Raw genomic sequence first — 21,795 nt, forward strand, 5'->3', positions numbered from 1 at the left:
CCTCTTTCCTAACTTGCCACTACATCAAAGCATTTGTGCATAGTAGGTGGATACAGAAAAGTGCTTTCAAACAAATCTAAAACCCATTTCTCCTATCCTGCATTGAACATAATTGCATCTCTTCAATTAAAATTTTCATCTGCCCTCAAACAGTTTTACAAAGTGGGTTTGTTTTTGTTGCTTATTTTGGAAGTGTTTTCTTGCCAATCTGTATCTCCTACCCAACTCTTGAAAATAACCTTGTTTCCCTTTCCTCTCAGTAATCACCTCACCTCCCTCCCAGTAAACCCCCAATCATAGACATCCTCAACTTTTTCAAGGATAAAAAATCAAGGGCAGCTCAAAGATTAATCCTTTATCTTCAACAGACACCAGGCCTCCCCTCTATCCCAACTTGCTTTGCAGAAATTGCTTCCAAATTTTTGACTAGTTCAAAAATTAATTTTGACAACTAAATTATTGACTATTTTGAGTAGTAAGAATATTTTAGAGCTTGGCACAGTGGTGCATCCCTATAATCCTCACTACTCAGGAAGGTGAAGCAGGCGGAGGATGGCTTGAGCCCAGTCTCTGGGAGCTACAATCTGCAGGGAGCTACAATCACACCATGCACTCCAGCCTGGCAGACAAAGTGAGACCCTGTCTCTTTATTAAAAAGAAAAAAAAAAAAGATACTTTAAAGTAATATTTACTATCGTCATCCATTCAAAAAGAAAAGGCATCTTGACACAGGGAAGGTCTCTTAAAATCTCTCAGCAGTTCTTAAAATAAAGTCAGTGTGGCTTTATGAACAACATGACACCTTATCAGCACTTTGGAAGTAGTTCTGGTTGAACCACCTTGACACCAAAACAATTCATTCATTCATTCACAAACGTTTGTCAAGAATCTAGTACATGCTAAGTGGTGGGAAGTTGAGTCCCTGAGCTCATAATTCATTCAACCAATGTTTTCGAGCATCTACTGTTACATTCTGGAGAAATCAGGACGCAAAGCAATTTTCATTCTCAAAGAATTCATGGTCTCATAAGGGAAAAACCAAAACAAAATTTGAATGACAGAGTCTATGTACTAGGTCTACCTAGTACCTATGTATATCTAGTACGTAGAGTCTCATATGTATACCTAGTACAGAGTCTCTCACAGGTATACCTAGTACATATGTATACCTAGTACACAGAGTCTTTCATTGGGTCTTTGAGCCCCTATAATTTAGTGTGTGTGTGCAAATTTGGCATTCGTGTGATTGAGTTATGTCTAGCTACTCTATGAGACTGTAAGATCCTGGCGGACTGGGACCAGGTCTGTCTTTGCTCACCAGAGCCTCGCCAGTGCTGAATGGGTATTGCTGACTGAGCCAACTAATGTTAGTGTGATGAGCCTGACGTTAACTTTCCAACCAAGTTCAAACTCTTTATTTGGGGACCTTAATACCTTCCACAAACTACTTCCTCAGCAATATCCCACTACTCCCTCCTCATTCTGTGACGTAGCCCATTTCTGTGGCTCTCCTGTTCCTAATGGGCCTTAGGCTATGTTTCACTCATGCTGCTTTCCTCTCTTGGGACACCTCCCATGTCCAATCCTTCCGCCCCTCCCTTCATCACTGATTGACTTCTTCCCCATCCTCTTTAAAGTCTCAACTTGTCCCATTTTCCTTGTGAGGTATGCCCCACAGCTCAGGGGGTACCCAAGGAAGCAGTCTCTGGGAGGAAAATTGGAGCACAGGAAGATCAAGAGCTGCTGCTAGGATTCCCACCTGTGGAATGGAAGGAAAGGAAGCAGGCTGGGCAAAGGAGGAGTTGGGCTGCAATGAAATCTCAACGAAGACCTCAGCCAACCCGCAGGTAGCTCTGAAGCCAAGGCAGCTTTTTAGGGTGGCTCCATGTTGTAGCTGCGGACAGGGTCTTTAGATTTCTGCATCAACCAGTCTGTTGTAGCTGCGGACAGGGTCTTTAGATTTCTGCATCAACCAGTCAGTGGATGTAGACTGCCCCCTGGAAAGAGGTCTTGGGTAGGAAGGCTGATAGCACTCTCAGCAATTAGATGAATACATCTTTCAGTCCTTCTAGGACATCTGGGCAATGCACACAACAACTGCTGTACAAATATTCCCACATTTTTGCACCCATCCAAATCACCCAGAGGCTTTTTGAAACACTGACTGGGCCAGGCATGGTGGCTCACGCCTGTAATCCTAACACTTTGGGAGGCCGAGGCAGGCAGATTGCTTCAGCCCAGGAGTTCAAGAACAGCCTAGGCAACATGGCAAAACCCCACCTCTACAAAAAATGCAAAAATTAACCGGGTGTGGTTACACATACCTGTGGTCCCAGCCACTCGGGAGGCTGAGACCAGGAGGATCACTTGAAGCCAGAAGGTCGAGGTTGTAGTGAGCCAAGATCGCACCACTGCACTCCAGCCTGGGCAACAGAGTGAGACCTTGTCTCAAAACACACACACACAGGCACCAATGTGCACACACACACACACACACAAACACACACACGCACTGCTTGGCCCCAACTCCGGAGTTGTTAATGTAGTAGATCTGGAGTAGAGCCTGAGTATCTGCATTTGAAACAAGTTTCCAGATGATGCTGATGCTGCTGAATCCGGGACCACACTTTGAGAACCACTTACCACACACTGTACCCACACAAAGCCTCAACCCACATAACTTCTGACCATTCACATTGTGCTTACCACTTGCTGCTTGGTGCCATGTTATTTGTGTCGTCTTTTCCTGAGCTGCATCCTTTTGTGAATGCAGAGCTCTACAGACTGTGTAATAGTTTATGGTCTTCATGAAAGTAAATGGAAAGCCACTGCTGGAATCTGAGCTGCATGGGATAGGGTCACATGTATATTTCAAAAAGATCACTTTCACTACAGTGAAGAGAAGTGACTTGCGATGGGGGTGCAAAGGGATGTTGCCAGAGAGGACTCAGGTGGAGTTAGGAGTTTGATTCTAGTAGTCCAGGGGAGAGTTAATAAATAGGAGGAGCTTGCACTAATGAAGATGGAGAAAAACAGAGAGATTCAAGGGATATTTAAGAGGCAACAGTGACAGGACCTGGAGATGGATCAGTTGTCGGGGAAGAGAGATCGTGTGAGAGCAAGAATGACTCTGCAGTTTCTGCTCATGCAGCTGAATGTGTGTTGAAGCGCCATTTCCTGAACACTGGAAGAGAAACAGCTTGTAGAATATGAGGGCCTCATCTACAGGGCTTTTACAACTTTTTTGTTTTTTTATTCCTGAAAGTATCAAGTTGCAAATGTTTTAAAAAGATTAACTTGCTAATTGCTTCAATTTTTTTTCTTTTTTCTTCTTCTACACAAACATTGACTTTTCCACACAATATCCTTTGTGTTAGGAGATATACGTGCTGTAGCTTTTGCCATCAGGGAGTGCATCTTTGAAGATTTGATTGTCAAAAACTAATTTAAAGTCTCCTAAGAGAACATTTTCTCCTGAACTGTCTGTATCCCCCAAAAAGTAACAAAAAACATCACATGAGCTGGCATTATTGCCAGAAAGTACATCAGCATCTTGCCAGATTTGTTCTCCTCAGTCACAAGTTCTGGCCATTATGATGACAACATTAAAAAAAAAGAAAAAGAAAAATAGGAGAGTTGGCATAAAGAAGAATATGATCAAACAGTGTAGACATCATGATACAATTCACATACCTCCTACCATGCCGGAGTGGCTCTTAGAAAATAATGACCCTGGTAAACTAAGGGCATTTTGGTTTTTTTAAAAGGAATTTTCAGGCTTTAACTTGTAAGATTTAGGACTCTTTCTTTAGTTCTGCTGTGAATGAATACATAGCTTTTCTTTATTTTTTTTTAATCTGCCAAATGGACAAAGGGTTTTTTGTTTCCAGAATACAATAGTGTTATATCCAATAGACATCTTTTTTTAAAAAAATTCCAGAATTTTAAGAGACTTACAAGGCTACATGCAAGAGAGATTTTTTGACACTTGTCATTTGAAATAGTTTAAGGTGTGACAAGCATTTATAAGTCATTTGCTATTGAACAAAGATCAAATGGATTCACTCCCCATTTAAAAAAATTTGTATTTCTTATTTACATTTAAAAACCCCTATTTCTTTACCAAGACACCTATAAGTGGCTTGTGGCTTTTGTAGCTATTAGACTTCTTGCCTTGCTCACCTAGACACTGTCACAAAATATCAAACGCTATTTATGTGTGTGTGTGTTTTTTAACTAAGAAGTCATTCATTTGAAAATACTCCAATTCCAGTTGCAGCTTATTTGTTTATAAATAGTGCCACTCTAAGGACATACAAGGCAATAAGTAATAATTTATACTTTAGCACGAATCCAATTTGATTATAAGGATCTTACAGAGATTATGGGACATGAAAGTTCTAAAGCTCCAAGTTTATATTGAAAAACCCACAGGTTCCAACAAAGAAAGCACATGCCAGATGTAATCTAGCAGGCTAACTTTAGGTCTTCAATTCCAACAAATGTCAAAACTCAGGTCATTTAGCCAACATTTATTAAGCACTTACTACATACCAGCTATTTTGAGGTGCTTCAACATCATGGTAAAGCTTTCTGTTATCATCGTTGTTGTTTTTAAAAGTTGGCCAGGCGCAGTGGCTCACACCTGTAATCTCAGCACTTTGGGAGGCCAAGGCAGGTGGATCACTTGAGGTCAGGAGTTCGAGACCAGGCTGAGCAACATGGTGAAACCCCATCTCTACTAAAAATACAAAAATTAGCTAGATGTGATGGCACATGCCTGTAGTCCCAGCTACTTGGGAGGCTGAGGCATAAGAATAGCTTGAACCCAGAAGACAAAGGTTTCAGTGAGCTGATATCATGCCCCTGCACTCCAGCCTGGGCAACAGAGTGAGACTCTGTCTCAAAAAATATATAATAACAATAATAATTATAAAACAAAAGTCACTCCTCAGTTTTATATGGCTGGTTTCACATTTGACCTTCCTTTACTCCTGGACTTCAGTTACAGAATTCCACAGTGGAAGGTCCTCAAAGAATGTGCAGTGAGAGTTCTACAACAGGTTTATGTCAAGGGAGCATTTTTTCAGTCTTGTTTTCTCACCAACTGGCTTACTATTACTCGAGAAATAGAGCCTAACACAGAAGCAGCACCCTACCAATATCTGCAGTCACAGAACCATCAAGGTAGACTCACTAGTGACCCTCAGGAGCAGCTGTCCTAAAGTCTCCAGGCAGAATTTTCCTGGCAACCTCTTTCCTCTTTCTCCTACAGGAGAGCTCAACATTATTCAAGTCCTCATTTTACAGATAATGTAACTAAAGCTCCCAAGGGATAAAAAAGCCCCACGGCTCAGGGGATGTGAATGGGGACTTTAAAAGTATATAATCTCCAGTCTCAGTTTAGTCCTATGAACCCAGTCTTTTAGAGGGAGAGCTCAAATAGGTACATTTTGAACAATTTCCCCTGCTTCTAACACAAGCCAGGCCTAGGCCAAGGACCAGCTCTGAGGACTATAACATGGAGATGGGAGATGGGAGAGAGGAGGCTGATGAGACTGGATAATACATAAGGTCCTTGGCCTACAGAACACGATTTTTTAACTTTCACGAGTAAGTGAGGTCAGAAGCATTCTCAAACAAGCCGTATGTAGGAAAGGTCAAAATTATTAACTCAGTGAGGAGCTCCAGATCACCAAACCACAGGGATAAAAAGAGCATGGCAATTACACACAGTTAAGAGGTCACTGTAGATTGTGGGCAGAGAGGGGAGTGCAAACAATTTATTCCTGAAGACTGATTTCATTAACAGTGAGTCACTTTTGCAGACTGGAGTCATTTGCATCTACAGTTGGACCAATTAGCATACCCCAGGGTTGTATTTCAGCCACAGAAAGCAGAGAATGCTCTAGAACTCAGGCCAGATGAAGACCTCAGTTTGATTTCATTCCTCTCCCCTGACAACTATGCCTGCACCCTACAGAAGAATTTCTCCTATGCTGAGCTACCTTGGCTGTTCTCAAATTAGTTTTAGAATAAAGAAGAATTGAAATGCTGCAAATTCACTGTGCATGGATGTAAATTGGTAAACTAGTACGACCTTTTTGGAGGGCTGTCAATATCCAACACAATTTGAAATAACCATATGTTTTGATGCAGCAGCTAGACTCCCAGGAATTTATCTCACAGAAATATCTGCACAAATTGGCAAAGATATAAATAGGTACAAATAGGTTTATTGGAAAAAATTTTAACAATGAAAACTGGGAATAACTCACATATTCATCAGTAGGGAAATGCTTAAATAAATTAATTCAGCTATTTTAAAAAGACCTAGACCTTTATAGAACTTTCACAAGATATACAAAATAAATTAAATGAATAGCCTTTATAGTATGACTCAATTTTGTTTTATAAAAACCATATATAAGTTGTGATTGACAGGCCAAGATGACTGACTAGAAGCAGCAGCATTCTGAGGCTCCCATAGAAGAAAACTATAATAAGCATGAGAATCCTTCACCGGCAACCAAGGTATCCAGGTTCTCTCATCAAAATTGACTAGAAGGCTGTCGTGACCCACGGAGAGAAGGAAGAGCAGTGTGGTGTGGCGGCCACCCTGAGAGCCACACGGGGAAGGGGAACCCCCATTGGCATCAGGTCAGTGCCCCTCGAGGGCAGAGCTCCCAGAAGGAGTAGGCAACCATCTTTGCTGCTCTCCAGCCTCCTTGAGTGACATCTCCAGGCACAGGAGCAAATCAGACGAATAAGGCCTGAAATGAACCCCCACCAAATTGCAGCATCCCTACAGAAGAGGGACCTGACTTTTGAAAGAAAAACAAGCAGAAAGTGACAACAACAGCATCAACAACAACAAGGCCCCCACAAAAGCCCCATCCAAGGGTCAGCAGCCTCAAAGACCAAAACTAGACAAACTCACGAAGATGAGAATCAATGAAAAATGCTGAAAATCCAAAAGGCCAGAGTGCTTGCCTCTTCTCCTCCAAATGATTGCAATGTCTCTCCATCAAGGGCGCAGAACTGAATGGAGGATCAGACGGATGAATTGACAGTAGGCTTCAAAAGATGGGTAATAAAAAATTACGATGAGCTAAAGGAACATGTTCTAACCCAATGCAAAGAAGCTAAGAACCTTGATAAGAGGTTAGAGGAATTGATAACTAGAATAACCACTTTAGAGAGGAACATAAACAACTTGATGGAGCTGAAAAACACAGCACAAGTACTTCGTGAAGCATACACAAGTGTCAATAGCCAAATACAGCAAGCGGAAGAAAGGATATAAGAATTCGAAGACCACCTTACTGAAATAAGACACACAGACAAGAATAGAGAAAAAAAGAGTGAAAAGGAATGAACAAAGCCTCCAAGAAATATGGGACCTCTTAAAAAGACCAAACCTATGATTGATTGGAGTACCAGAAGGAGACAGGGAGAATGGAAACAAGTGGGAAAACACACTTCAGGGTATTATCCAGGAGAACGTCCCCAACCTAGCAAGACAGGCCAACACGCAAATTCAAGAAATACAGAGAACACTATTAAGATACTCCATGAGAAGATCAACCCAAGACACATAATCGTCAGATTCTCCAAGGTCGAAATGAAGGAAAAAATGTTAAGGGCAGCCAGACAGAAAGGTCAGGTTACCCACAAAGGGAAGCCCATCAGACTAACAGCGGATCTCTTGGCAGAAACTCTACAAGCCAGAAGACAGTGGGGGCCAATATTCAACATTCTTAAAGAAAAGAATTTTCAACCCAGAATCTCATATCCAGCCAAACTAAGCTTCAAAAGCGAAGGAGAAATAAAATCCTTTCCAGACAAGCAAATGCTGAGGGATTTCATTACCAACAGGCCTGCCCTGCAAGAGCTCCTGAAAGAAGCATTAAATATGGAAAAGAAAAACTGGTAGCAGCCACTGCAAAAACACACCAAACTATAAAGACCAATGACACTACGAAGAAACTGCATCAACTAGTGCACAAAATAACCACATAGTATCATGATGACAGGATCAAATTCACACACAACAATACTAACCTTAAATATAAATGGGCTAAATACCCCAGTTAAAAGACACAGGCTGGCAAATTGGATAAGGAGTCAAGACCCATCAGCATGCTGTATTCAGGAGACCCATCTTACATGCAAAGACACACATAGGCTCAAAATAAAGGGATGGAGGAAAATTTACCAAGCAAATGGAAAGCAAAAAAAAAGCAGGGGTTGCAATCCTAGGCTCTGACAAAAGAGACTTTAAACCAACAAAGACCAAAAAAGACAAAGAAGGGAATGGTAAAGGGATCAATGCAACAAGAAGAGCTAACTATCCTGAATGTATATGCACCCAATACAGGAGCACCCAGATTCATAAAACAAATTTTTAGAGATCTACAAAGAGACTTAGACTCCCACACAATAATAGTGGGAGACTTCAACACTCCACTATCAGTATTAGACAGATCAACAAGACAGAAGATTAACAAGGATATTCAGGACTTGAACGCAGCTCTGGATCAAGTGGATCTAGTAGACATCTACAGAACTCTCTACCCCAAATTAACAGAATATACATTCTTCTCAGTGCCACATGGCACTTATTCTAAAATCGGCCACATAATTGGAAGTAAAACACTCCTCAGTAAATGCAAAAGAACTGAAATCATAACAAACAGTCTCTCAGACCACAGTGCAATCAAACTAGAACTCAGGATTAAGAAACTCACTCAAAACCACACAATTTCATGGAAATTGAACAACCTGTTCCTGAATGACTCCTGGGTAAATAATGTAATTAAGGCAGATATCAGGAAGTTCTTTGAAACCAATGAGAACAAAGAGACAATGTACCAGAATCTCTGGGACACAGCTAAAACAGAGTTAAGAGGGAAATTTATAGCACTAAATGCCCACATCAGAAAGCTAGAAAGATCTCAAATCGATACCCTAACATCACAATTAAAAGAGCTAGAGAGGCAAGAGCAAGCTAATCCAAAAACCAGCAGAAGACAAGAAATAACCGAGATCAGAGAAGAACTGAAGATGAGATAGAGACACAAAAAAACCCTCAAAAAAAATCACCAAATCCATGAGCTGGTTTTTTGAAAAAATTAATAGAAAGATAGACCGCTAGCTAGGCTAATAAAGAAGAAGAGAGAGAAGAATCAAATAGATGCAATAAAAAAATGATAAAGGGGATATCACCACTGATCCCTCAGAATTACAAACTACCATCAGAGAATACTATAAACACCTCTACACAAATAAACTAGAAAATCTAGAAGAAATGGATAAATTCCTGGACACATACACCCAACCAAAACTAAACCAGGAAGAAGTTGAATCCCTGAATAGACCGATAACAAGCTCTGAAATTGAGGCAGTAATTAATAGCCTACCAACTAAAAAAAGCCCAGGACCAGACAGATTCACAGCTGGATTTTACCAGAAATACAAAGAGGAGCTGGTACCATTCCTTCTGAAACTATTCCAAACAATTGAAAAGAAGGAACTCTTCCCTAACTCATTTTATGAAGCCAATATCATCCTGATACCAAAACCGGGAAGAGACACTACAAAAAAAGAAACTTTCAGCCTAACATCCCTCATGAACATCAATGCAAAAATCCTCAATAAAAGAGTGGCAAACCGAATCCAGCAGCACATCAAACAACTTACCCACCACAATCAAGTGGGCTTCATCACTGGGATGCAAGGGTGGTTCAACATACACAAATCAATAAACATAATCCATTACATAAACAGAACCAATGACAAAACCACATGATTATCTCAATAGATGCAGAAAAGGCCTTTGATAAAATTCAACATCCCTTCATGTTAAAAACTCTCAATAAACTAGGTATTGATGGAACATATTTCAAAATAATAAGAGCTATTTATGTCAAACCCACAGCCAATATCTTATTGAATGGGCAAAAGCTAGAAGCATTCCCTTTGAAAACCAGTACAAGACAAGGATGCCCTCTCTCACCACTCTTATTCAACATTGTATTGGAAGTTCTGGCCATGGCAATCAGGCAAGAGAAAGAAATAAAGGGTATTCAATAGGAAGAGAGGAAGTCAGATTGTCTCTGTTTGCAGGTGACATGATTTCACGTTTAGAAAACTGCATCATCTCAGCCCCAAAACTTCTTGAACTGATAAGAAACTTCAGCAAAGTCTCAGGGTACAAAAGTCAACGTGCAAAAATCACAAGCATTCGTTTACACCAACAACAGGCTAACAGAGAGCCAAATCATGAATGAACTCCCATTCACAATTGCTACAAAGAGATTAAAATACCTAGGAATACAGCTAACAAGAGATGTGAAGGACCTCTCCAACTACAAAGCACTGCTCAAGGAAATAAGAGAGGACACAAACAAATGGAAAAACATTCCATCCTCATGGATGGGAAGAATCAATACCATGAAAATGGCCATAGTGCCCAAAGTAATTTATAGATTCAATGCTATTCCCATCAAACTACTGTTGACATTCTTCACAGAATTAGAAAAAACTATTTTAAATTTCATATGGAACCAAAAAAGAGCCTGGATAGCCAAGACAATTCTGAGCGAAAAGAACAAAGCTGGAGGCATCACACTACCTGACTTCAAACTATACTACAAGGCTACAGTAACCAAAACAGCATGGTACTGGTACCAAAACAGACATATAGACCAATGGAGCAGAACAGAGACCTCGGAAGCAATACCACACATCTACAACCATCTGATCTTTCACAAATCTGACAAAAACAAGCAATAGGGAAAGGATTCCCTATTTAATAAATGGTGTTGGGAAAACTGGCTAGCCATATGCAGAAAACTGAAAGTGGACCCCTTCCTTACACCTTGTACAAACATTAACTCAAGATGGATTAAAGACTTAAATGTAAAACCCAAAACCATAAAAACCTCAGAAGAGGCCAGGCACAGTGGCTCAAGCCTGTAATCCCAACACTTTAGGAGGCTGAGGCGGGTTGACCACCTGAGATCAGGAGTTTGAGGCCAGCCTGACCAACATGCAGAAATGCTGTCTCTACTAAAAATACAAAAAAAAAAAAAAATTAGCCAGGTGTGGTGGCACATGCCTGTAATCCCAGCTACTCGGGAGGCTGAGGCTGGAGAATCACTTGAACCCAGAAGGCAGAGGTTGCGGTGAGCCAAGATCACGCCATTGCACTCCAGCCTGGGCAACAAGAGCGAAGCGCCGTCTCAAACAAACAAACAAACAAAACCCTAGAAGAAAACCTAGGCAATACCATTAAGGACATAGGCATGGGGAAAGACTTCATGACAAAAATGTGAAAAGAAATTGCAACAAAAGCCAAAATTGACAAATGGAATCTAATTAAACTAAAGATCTTCTGCACAGCAAATGAAACTGTCATCAGAGTGAACAAGCAATCTACAGAACAGGAGACAATTTTTGCAATCTACCCATCTGACAAAGGTCTAATATCTAGAATTTACAAGGAATTTAAACATATTTACAAGAAAAAAACAAACAACCTTATCAAAGAGTGGGTGAAGGATATGAACAAACACTTCTCAAGACATTTATGCAGCCAATGGACATATGAAAAAAAGCTCAACATCACTGATCATCAGAGAAATACAATGAGATACCATTTCACGCCAGTCAGAATGGCGATTATTAAAAAATCAAGAAACAATAGAGGCTAGTGAGGCTGTGGAGAAGTAGGAACGTGTTTACATTGTTGGTGGGAATGTAAATTAGTTCAAACATTGTGGAAGACAGTATGGTGATTCCCCAAGGATCTAGAACCAGAAATACCATTTGACTCAGCAATACCATTCCTGGATATATACCCAAAGGAATATAAATCATTCTACTATAAAGACACACGCACATGTATGCTCCTTGCAGCACTATTTACGATAGCAAAGACATGGAACCAACCCAAATGCCCATCAATGGTAGACTGGATAAAGAAAATGTGGTACATATACACCATGGAATACTATGCAGTCATAAAAAGGAATGAGATCATGCCCTTTGCAGGGACATGGATGAAGCTGGAAGCCATTATCCTCAGCAAACTAACATAGGAACAGAAAAACAAACACCACATGTTCTCACTCACAAGTGAGAGTTGAACATTGAGAACACATCCACACAGAGAGGGGAACAACACACACCAGGGCCAGTTGCGGGGTAGGAGGTGAAGGGAAGGAAGTTGGAGGATGGGTCAATAGGCGCAGCAAACCAACACGGCACATGTATTCCTATGTAACAAACCTGCACGTTCTGTACATGCATCCGGTTTTTTTTTTTAGAAGAAATAAAAAAAATAAGTTGTATATATTACGTATTATTTTCTTTTTTTTTTTTTTCTGAGATGGAGTCTCGCTCTGTCGCCCAGGCTGGAGCGCAGTGGCACGATCTTGGGTCACTGCAACCTCTGCCTTCCGTGTTTGAGCAATTCTCCTGCCTCAGCCTCCCGAGTAGCTGGGATTACAGGCATGCACCACCACGCCAGGCTAATTTTTGTATTTTTTTTAGTATTAAAAAATCACCATTTTTTAGTATATAAAATCACCATGTTGTTCAGGGTGTTTTCAAACTCCTGACCTCGTGATCTGCCCACCTTGGCCTCCCAAAGTTCTGGGATTACAGGCTTGAGCCACCACTTTCTGTGTGTGTATATGCGTGTGTGTGTGTGTGTGTGTGTATAATTGTGTGTGTATAATTGTGTGTGTATAATTGTGTGTATATATATTCAATATATATCCATATATACATGTAGTATAAATGTTTGTAAATACGTTTTTAAAAGTCTGGAAAGATAGACTGTTGATAGTAGTCACCTATTGGCATGGATATGGGAGAAGACCAGAAACTCACAGAATGAGGAGCTTCTATACAAATTTTATTTATGCTTTGAGTTTCTAATTTTACCTAGGTATATTAAAGCTCTGATAACTAAAAAATAATAAATTTTCAAAGAAACTTGATAAATAGTTAAAAATGAGATAATTCTTAATTAAAGCAGTAGAAGTTCAGAAAATGATTACAGTAAAAAGATGACAAATTATTCCAGAGCTCTCTTCACCTCTGCAGGTCACATTCTCTATCTCCTTCTCTTCCTCCTCTTTAAAAAGCTAGCAATTGGAACAAACACTTTAGAATAACTGTTTCACCTATGGAATAAAATTTTGCACCCCCTCCCTTTTTGCTCATACCTCCTAGCCTTCCCAAATCCACACTACCCCTAAATAAAAGGTTTGCCAACTCTAGAGATCATTTGTACAACAAAAAAAGAAAAAAAAAAATCAAACCAATACAACAAACCCAAACTGGCCACTAGAGGGAGAACATCACACATAAAACCACTTTGAGCTACCACTCCACGGAAAACCATACCCACAGACGGAGGTACAAGGGTTGGCTCCACAAGAGATTGTTCAAAGGTAAAAGCTCACAGGCAATCATCAATGTGATTCAGCCTTTGGCTTGCCTAATATGTCCTGAAGCAAATAGTTTTATTAATAAATATAAAATTACAAATGTGAATATGTTTCCCATATTAGTGAGGTCTCCCCACCCTCCCTGCTCTGAATCAAATTTTTACAAATGTTCTGGAACAGAAGCAAATGTTGAGTTGGAAGCTGCCCTGAAACTGAGTCTTAACGAAACAATACCCATTTTTGAGCCCAGCCACAGAGTTAGGAGAAGCAAGTAAGAAACTTTAGCCTCGTTTTACAAAGAGCAGGGGATTTAATCTTATCAAGGAAGTCCTCTCATATACTTTTTCAGACCGCTATTTCATGAGGATGACGCAGCACACTTTTCCTTTCATTCTTCACACACTGATCTCAGTCGTCTTTATCAGCCACATTCTTTTTATGTATTTGTGCCTGGAACGAATGAGCTGATAATGCACCTTTTGATCATGTTTTCCAGTGGATGAATGTGTTCCATGCACCCAAGCCTTCTTCCACGCCGCCCCTAAAAAAAAGTCCATTTCTTTAGGGTAACATCATCATTTTAAAAAAGAAGTGACACATGGGTGGGGAGGGAGGTGTGATGGAAACACGTCTTTCAAAAATGTGTAGTCGTAGCCTCGGCCACTTCATTACCACATTGAGAATAATTTCTGCAGTGTGACTAAGCATCAACCCTTCAAGTTTGGAGTGGATTTAAAGCAGGTCAAAGGTTTACACTCAGATCCCTCTATACTGACTGCTTTAACCCTCCTGCCTTGATTGTACCTTTTCTAGAAGTACTTGCACATAATTTTCAAAATCTGAAGAAGAAATAGATTTAGTAACTTGTCCAAAGTCACAAATCTAGTAAGTGGTAGGAGAAGAATTTAAGCCCAGACAGTCTGGCTCCAGAGCCCATGTTCTTAACCACTAATCCATTCCACCTCCTCACTCTTTGCCTTTTTACTCCTGCAAGCTATCCCTTGCCCCAGTAATCTCCCGTCTTCAGTCCACCACTCCCCACCCCAAACTCACAATAAAACAATGGACTCAATGATACAGTAGAGAGAACGGAAGTCACAAAAATGGCGTGAGTCCTGGTTCTGCCTCACTCAACCGTGTCACCTGGGGCATCTTGAGTCCTAGTTTTCTAAGTGCACATTGGGAATATTAACCAAAAATAACCAGTTCCCCCCCAAAAACTACTCTGCAAATTAAATTAGGTCATGTACACAAAGCCTCCAGTACAGTGCCTGGCCCTGGAAAGCAAACCAGCCAAGACAAGAGAAGACATAGAACAACCACAATTTACCGCACAATGAACACAGTCTACCAGGAGAAAGTGAGCTGTTTCAGAAAGTAACACTTTCACCTTCCTCAATGGCTTTATAATACAGCCACCATCTGGGGAAAGATGGCTGGGGACATGGCAGGGTCCCACCACAATGTCACCTTGAGTGGAGGCTGCAATAGTCAGGGAATCTTCCATGACTTGCACCGAATACTTGCAAAGCCCTTTTTGGGAGACATTTTATACAAAGTGATTCCAACTACAGGATTGTTGAGGGTAGTCCATGCATAGAATTATGTTCCAAAGGATGTAGGTCCATTATTGCTGCGTGTAAAAAAAAAAAAAAAAAAAAAAAGGGTGACAACCCCATGGCAGGGCCATCTGTCTGTGAAGGGGCCAGGGAAGCAAATTCACCTCTACATTTAAGAGGTCTCCCAAAACAAACAGGAAGGAAGTGCTTCTGAACAGTTAATTTAACTTGCTCTTGAGGTCATTTAAACCCAATTCTTTTTGACCGTCCTTAGAAGAGATGGAGAAAGGCTGTCATTTTCTCCCAAGACAGATTCAGTCACTGTCAGACCTTGCTCTTCTCCTAGATGAACAGCTCTCAGGTTTTTTGGTTTCAGGATCCCTTTACACTCCTAGAAATCATTGAGGACCCCACAGAATTTCTGTAATGTGCAATATATCTACAGACATTGAACATATTAAAAGATTGACCCAAGTATGGTGGCTTACACCTGTATCCCAGAACTTCAAGAGCTGGAGGCAGGAGGATGGCTTGAGGCCGGGAGCTTAAGACCAGCTTGGGCAACATAGTGAGACCCTCATCTTTACATTTTAAGAAAAAATTAAGATTAGGAATTTTTTTGAGACGGAATCTCACTCTGTCGCCCAGGCTGGAGTACAGTGGCGTGATCTCCGCTCACTGCAAACTCCGCCTCCCAGGTTCACACCATTCTCCTGCCTCAGCCTCCCGAGTAGCTGGGACTACAGGCACCCGCCACCACGCCCGGCTAATTTTTTGTATTTTTAGTAGAGACGGGGTTTCACCGTGTTAGCCAGGATGGTCTCGATCTCCTGACCTCGTGATCCGCCCACCTCGGCCTCCCAAAGTGCCGGGATTACAGGCGTGAGTCACTGCGCCCGGCCTAATTTTTTAACATAAAAATATACAAGCTCATATTCTGTGAGCCCTCAGGCTACATATCATACAGTCTCTAGAAAACTCTACTGTATACTCTTAGATAATTTAAAAAACAAACAACATCTTAATATTATTATGAAAATCAGTTTGACTCACAGGCCCCCTGAAAGGGGGCTGGAGGTCTCTGGGGTCTCCAGACCACACTTGGAGAACTGCTGAGCTAGATAAAACCTCCTACAACAGGTTGTAGTGAGTTCTGTCTGCCACATCCTGAACCCTTCTACTTGGACATCATATTGATTTTCATTTGTTTATTTTCATTTTTATGATTTTTAGGGACAGGGTATGGCTCTGTCACCCAGGCTGGAGTGCAGCAGTGTGATCATAGCAAACTCCTGAGGTCAAGCAATCCTGCCACCTCAGTCTTACTCCTGAGTTGCTAGGACTATAGGACTATGCTACCATGCCCAGCTAATTTTTCTATTTTTTGTAGAGATGGGGTCTCACTATGTTGCCTAGGCTGATCATGAACTCCTGGCCTCAAGTGATCCTCCTGCCTTGGCCTCCCAAAGTGCTAGGATTACTGGCATAAGCCACCCTGCCCAGCCCCCATCTTGATTTTTAAGTCTGGTAATTTATGTAGTTAGAATTAAAATCCTGAACCAGTAATATCAAAGAAGGATTAAATAAGAAGTAAGAATGTAAACAATGAGGCAGAACTACCCAAACAACTATTCTCTAAAACTGAAATGCAAATTAGCACTGAAGACACCACAGAAAACCTTGAACAGGCAGATCAACACAGTATGGGCCAACAGACTATCCTCCCTTTTCGTTTTTCCTTCTTTTTAATTATTGTTATGTCCACAAATGACTTTTCCATTGGTATTAAACCTGCTAGAGGTTCTTTGTGAGGTGGATTCAAGAAGAAAATACCCAGAGTTTCACAATATAGGTAGCGATAACCAGGTCTCACTTTCCCCTTCCGTGAGAACTTCGTGGGACAGACCGACCGCGCAGGATCAGGTATTTCCAAATTCAAGTACTAACACAAGTTTGGGGATTAATCATGCCAGCTTTTTTCTTTTTTAATGTTTGATATGGGGGTCAAGGTTAAGCTTTTCTATGCAGTCTCTTTGTTCTTTCTTACTCTTAGCCCATTTTGTCCTCTTCTCTGTGGCTGTAACTCCATGGCTGCCCAGGACCATCTGGTAGTACCTTCCTGCTCCTTTGCTTCTAATAGTCATATTTATAACAGGAACAAGTACCTAGGAAGCACTTATCCCAGTATCTGGGAAGCACTTATCCAAGTACTTTGTGCTAAGCACTTTATTTTTGCATTTTCTCATATCTCCCCACAACCCCACAAGGTAGGTATTATTATTCCCATTTTACCTTAGAGGACATTGCTTGCCTTACAGTGGCACAGTTACGTATGTGGTGGTGCAGGGATATGATCCCAGACAATCTTATCCCAAGGCTCTCTACCCACGATGCTAAACTGCCTTTTAAAGACAGTGACGCCGGACACAGTGGCTCACGCCTGTAATCCCAGCATTTTGGGATGCTGAGGCAAGTGGATTGCTTGAGCCCTGGAGTTCAAGACCAGCCTAGGCAACATGGAAAAACTCCATCTCTACAAAATAAAAAATAAAAAAAACTAGCTGGGCATGGTGGCATGTGCCTGTAGTCCCAGATACTCAGAAGGCTGAGGTGGGGGGGATCACCTGAGCCTAGGAGGTAGAGGCTGTAGTGAGCCATGATTGCACCACTGCCCTCGGGCCTGGATGACAGAGGAAGATTCTGTCTCAGAAAAATAAAAATAAAAGACAGTGATTGAAGAGATTAAAACGACATCCTTCCCATGTCATTTAAAGGTAAATAAATAAAATCTTATTTGGCAAAGGTGTAGAGCAGAGAAAAATTGTGGACTTTGAAAATGCAACCAATGGCTCTTCACCACAGGCACCAAAGTAAATGTAGGTGAACCTTTTATCAGTGCCACCTGACAAGGAAAGCCTTATCTCTGCTCTTCTGATAGTCTGTTAGTGGTTTCACTTTTCCCCTAAGTGTTCATTCACAGCTTCTAGCATTACCCTGTTGAGGTCCAAGCTAATATGCTAGAAAAGAGTTGCTCTGATCAGTCTTCCATTCCCCTCGGCAAAGAAAACAAGGGGTTTGTCAAATATGGCCCAGACCCAAGGGCGGGAGAGCAATCCTATCTGACCTTCAATTACTCTGAACTGGAATCGCCTTCTTCCCTGACAACTGTGACTAATTCCAAAGGCCCAACCAGCCTTCTCATAATGATGACTCTGGGGTCAATTACTTTGGGGGCAGATTAGAATCTGATCTGAAGCTGAAAAATTCCGCCCCCTTGGTACTAATCCCTTGAACTTTCCAATCCTAAATAGGGCAAGTTTCAGGAAAGAGCATTTCTCATTTTACAGCCTACCTGAATATTGTCTGTAATGATTTTGCTTAATCAAAAAATTAATTAAACTCTTGCTCTAATGGTCTAAACACAAGTCAGAGGAAGGAAGTTCTGGCCACGTGCCAAAGCTCCATCTGAGGCTCTCGGAGTTAATAATTTCCATGGTGTTTTAAGCATTTGAAACAACAAAGGCTAGCTTTCACTAATAGCACAACTGATTCTGGAAAACCTATAAAAATGAGGCCTGCTCTAGGGTGGTTTGTATCCAGAGAATTAAGTTTTAACAAATAAAATTAAATCAACAGTCAATAAATTAAAATTTTGCTATTCTCTGATACTAATCTGCAAACTTAGCCATAAGTGCTCAAGTTAATGAAAATGGGCTGCCAGTGGCTCTGCTGAGATCACCGATGGCTGTTAAATGGTTTTCCGTGGGGACAGCGTGGGGACAGCGTGGGGACAGAGGACAGGAGTCTCATAAGGCATTTCTAGGCGAGATGAGGTCCCTGGGCAAGCCACGACCCTTTCTTACATTTATACATTTCTTGCTAGTACATTACTTACTTGATCAGTCACTCTTCAGAAATAAATACATACAATTTTTTTTTTTTGCTCTGTGAAACGTATCAACTCTTCATAATCTAGGCTGCAAATGCAAACTGGCACCCCGCAGATGAAACGGGGCTGCAGAAGCAATTTATTAGGTCTTCACAGTGTTTGCTTTTTAAAAATATTAGTTGGTTGCCAACATTAAAAACTCAGAAGGCTTCACACAAAAATGCAAACATCCAGCCAGTCCTGGAAACTGGATAACTGAGCAACTCCAGGCTGACATTTCTGCAGGGCAGCCATGGACGAGAACAGAGCAGTGGCAGCACGCTTAGAACAGGCCTCGCTCATGCCCAGCCTGCTTCACCTGTTCACACGTCTTGCCTGGCTCTGCACTTCCTAAATCTAGTGATTTATTTAGTGGCTTCAAGAACTGCTACACTTTCCAGTGTGTTAAGCTCTGAAAAACTGAGTGCAGATAAAGATGCTGCAAAGACACTGCCCACCTTAAAGTCGACTGATGGAGAAATCTACATCCCAGATCAGATTTTTTACTTCCTTTGTTCCTCCATAGCCAGCCTGCAGGTTAACTCCCTTATGAGAAATACTGCTAATGGAATGTTAATATTTGTTGGAAGGAAGGAGGGAAGGAGGGAGACAGATATGCTAAATATTTAAAAAAGAAAAAATAAGCCCACACTAATCCCTTGCATAAAATTCCTGAAGTTTCAGAACAGAAAGCACTATGTTTACGGTGTTCCAGAAAGCACTATGTTTACGGTGGTTTTTTTTTTTCAAGATATTCCTGAATATGGATTTTACCACATGCAAAAATTCTGTTTGCAGCTTGAATACTGAGGACAAAAATGTGATCTATTTGGAAAAGGTGATTAGCAAGAGAATTAGAATACTGGATTCTCATGGATGAAATTTCAGTCATTATTTTTTGTCAATAGAATTCTCAGTAAATATAGTCCCTGAAAAATAGAATTTACCCATGCACTACTTTGAAGCCACCACCCCCACCACACCCCTGCCCCAACCAACTTTTATTTATTTATTTATTTATTTATTTATTTATTTATTTATTTATTTTGAGACGGAGTTTCGCTCTTGTCACCCAAGCTGGAGTGCAATGGCGCGATCTCGGCTCACTGCAACCTCTGCCTCCCGACTTCAATTGATTCTCCTGCCTCAGCCTCCAAGTAGCTGGGATTACAGGCATGCACCAACAAGCCCAGCTAAGTTTTGTATTTTTAGTAGAGACGGGGTTTCACCATGTTGGCCAGGTTAGTCATGAACTCCTGACCTCAGCTGATCCACCCGCCTCGGCCTCCCAAAGTGCAGGGATTACAGGCATGAGCCACCGTGCCTGGCCCCGACCAACTCTTACTAAAATAAATGGTAGCTTCCATTTCTTTTTTTCCTCAAGGGTCATATCGACAATTGAGATGCTCTGTTCAAAAAAAAGTAAAAGGTGGGGGTGAAAAGAAAATGCCCATATTGACACAGATCTGTACTGCATTTTAAGCTGTAGGTTGAACCATGTAGTTTGAAGCATCTATGCAGCCCATTTTCCATGAAGAAAAGGTCCCTCCTGATTACCACCCGTATTTCCCCCAGCCCCTGCCTTCTTCTAATCACGTTTACAGCTTTAAAAAAAAAGAGATACACCTTGCTTCTCACTCAACTGTCATGTACAGTCCAAAAATAAAGACCGTCCAGGATTCAGGACTAAAGCAGACTTGAAAACAAACCCCAAATTCCTTCCATGCTTCAATGGGGCAAGAAATGAGAATTCGAAACCAACTCTAGATGTAAGAGTTCCTAAAACAACAACAACAAAAAACAAAACAGTTTTTTAATACTGCAACTGGCACATCGACCAAACGGTCTGCTCGGCTCCAACTGTTTATCTAAAGCAGAAATAGCTCACAAGTGATTAATAAACAGAGAATGGAGGACAGTAGAATGTGGAAGTCATGTTGGATCACATGTGGTTTAAAACATGTTTTGAAACAAGCAGGCACAAACCTTCTCATAATTTTAAAGAAAACCTTAGCAATATATGAAGACCTTCAGGAAAAAAAAATTTAATACCATGAAAGTGCCTTCTTTTAGTGCATCTAGTGATTTATTTAGTGGCTTCAAGAACTGCTACACTTTCCAGTGTGTTAAGCTCTGAAAAACTGACAGTGCAGATAAAGATGCTGCAAAGACACTGCCCACCTTAAAGTCGACTGATGGAGAAATCTACATCCCAGATCAGATTTTTTACTTTTGATGGACGTGATCTCCATTAGAAGCATATGTCCTGAAGGTCTTACACCTTGGAGAAGAAAGAAGGTGCCTCAAAACTTAAGGCTGCAAAGGATCAACTGGCTGTAATGCTGGCTGCAAATGCCAGTGGAGATTGAATTAGGCTACTGGTTTTGTTAGGATAGTTATTTTGTTAGTGCTGTGGTACAATGTACAAAGTTCCTTAAGTTTTGAGTAATCTGCCTCTACCCCAATTTTCCCCGTATGCCTCTATGTTTTGTGTACAATGTCACAGAAAGTGAGGCTTTTCAGGACTACACCTATGGCATTCAAACCGAACTTTTCTTAGTCCCATTTTGCTGGTCTGCTCGTATGTCACTATCCAACATTATAAAGTGTAGTGACTATAGCTATCCATAGTTTAGGGTACTCTTTAGTTGGTAACCCAGACATGTAGTTCTTAAATAAACGGCTTGTTAGGATGTCATTTTATTGTATTCATTTTTAGAGACAGGGTCTTGCTCTGTTGCCCAGGCTGGAGTACAGTGGCACAATCATAGTTCACTGCAGCCTTGAGCTCTTGGGCACAAGCGAACCTCCCACCTCAGCCTCTCAAGTAGCTGGGACTACAGGT

General features: G+C 41.1%; 1 protein-coding gene across 8 annotated transcripts in view, besides 1 other annotated feature; it reads right to left on the minus strand.

The window, feature by feature from the left end:
• Positions 1-21,795, minus strand: part of SUMF1 (sulfatase modifying factor 1) — a 432,784-nt gene that overhangs the window by 303,142 nt on the left and 107,847 nt on the right. Inside the window, exon 9 of one of the 8 annotated variants that reach the window (XM_011533626.4) lies at positions 13,754-14,004. The exons of the other annotated variants lie outside the window; for them this stretch is intronic. Coding sequence (XP_011531928.1) covers positions 13,900-14,004 — 105 coding nt within the window. The 3' untranslated portion in view covers positions 13,754-13,899. Of the gene's footprint in view, positions 1-13,753; positions 14,005-21,795 lie in introns of those variants that run through there. 8 annotated transcript variants of the gene reach the window in all.
• Positions 2,958-3,252: an enhancer, noted in NCBI's record as "tiled region #4455; HepG2 Activating non-DNase unmatched - State 23:Low, and K562 Activating DNase matched - State 5:Enh". NCBI's record gives its function as "activates a minimal TATA promoter and a strong SV40 promoter by Sharpr-MPRA in HepG2 and K562 cells {active_cell/tissue: HepG2 | K562}" and the evidence as "EXISTENCE:reporter gene assay evidence [ECO:0000049][PMID:27701403]".

The sequence above is a fragment of the Homo sapiens genome, chromosome 3 (genome assembly GCF_000001405.40).
Source record: "Homo sapiens chromosome 3, GRCh38.p14 Primary Assembly".
Lineage (NCBI taxonomy): Eukaryota > Metazoa > Chordata > Mammalia > Primates > Hominidae > Homo > Homo sapiens.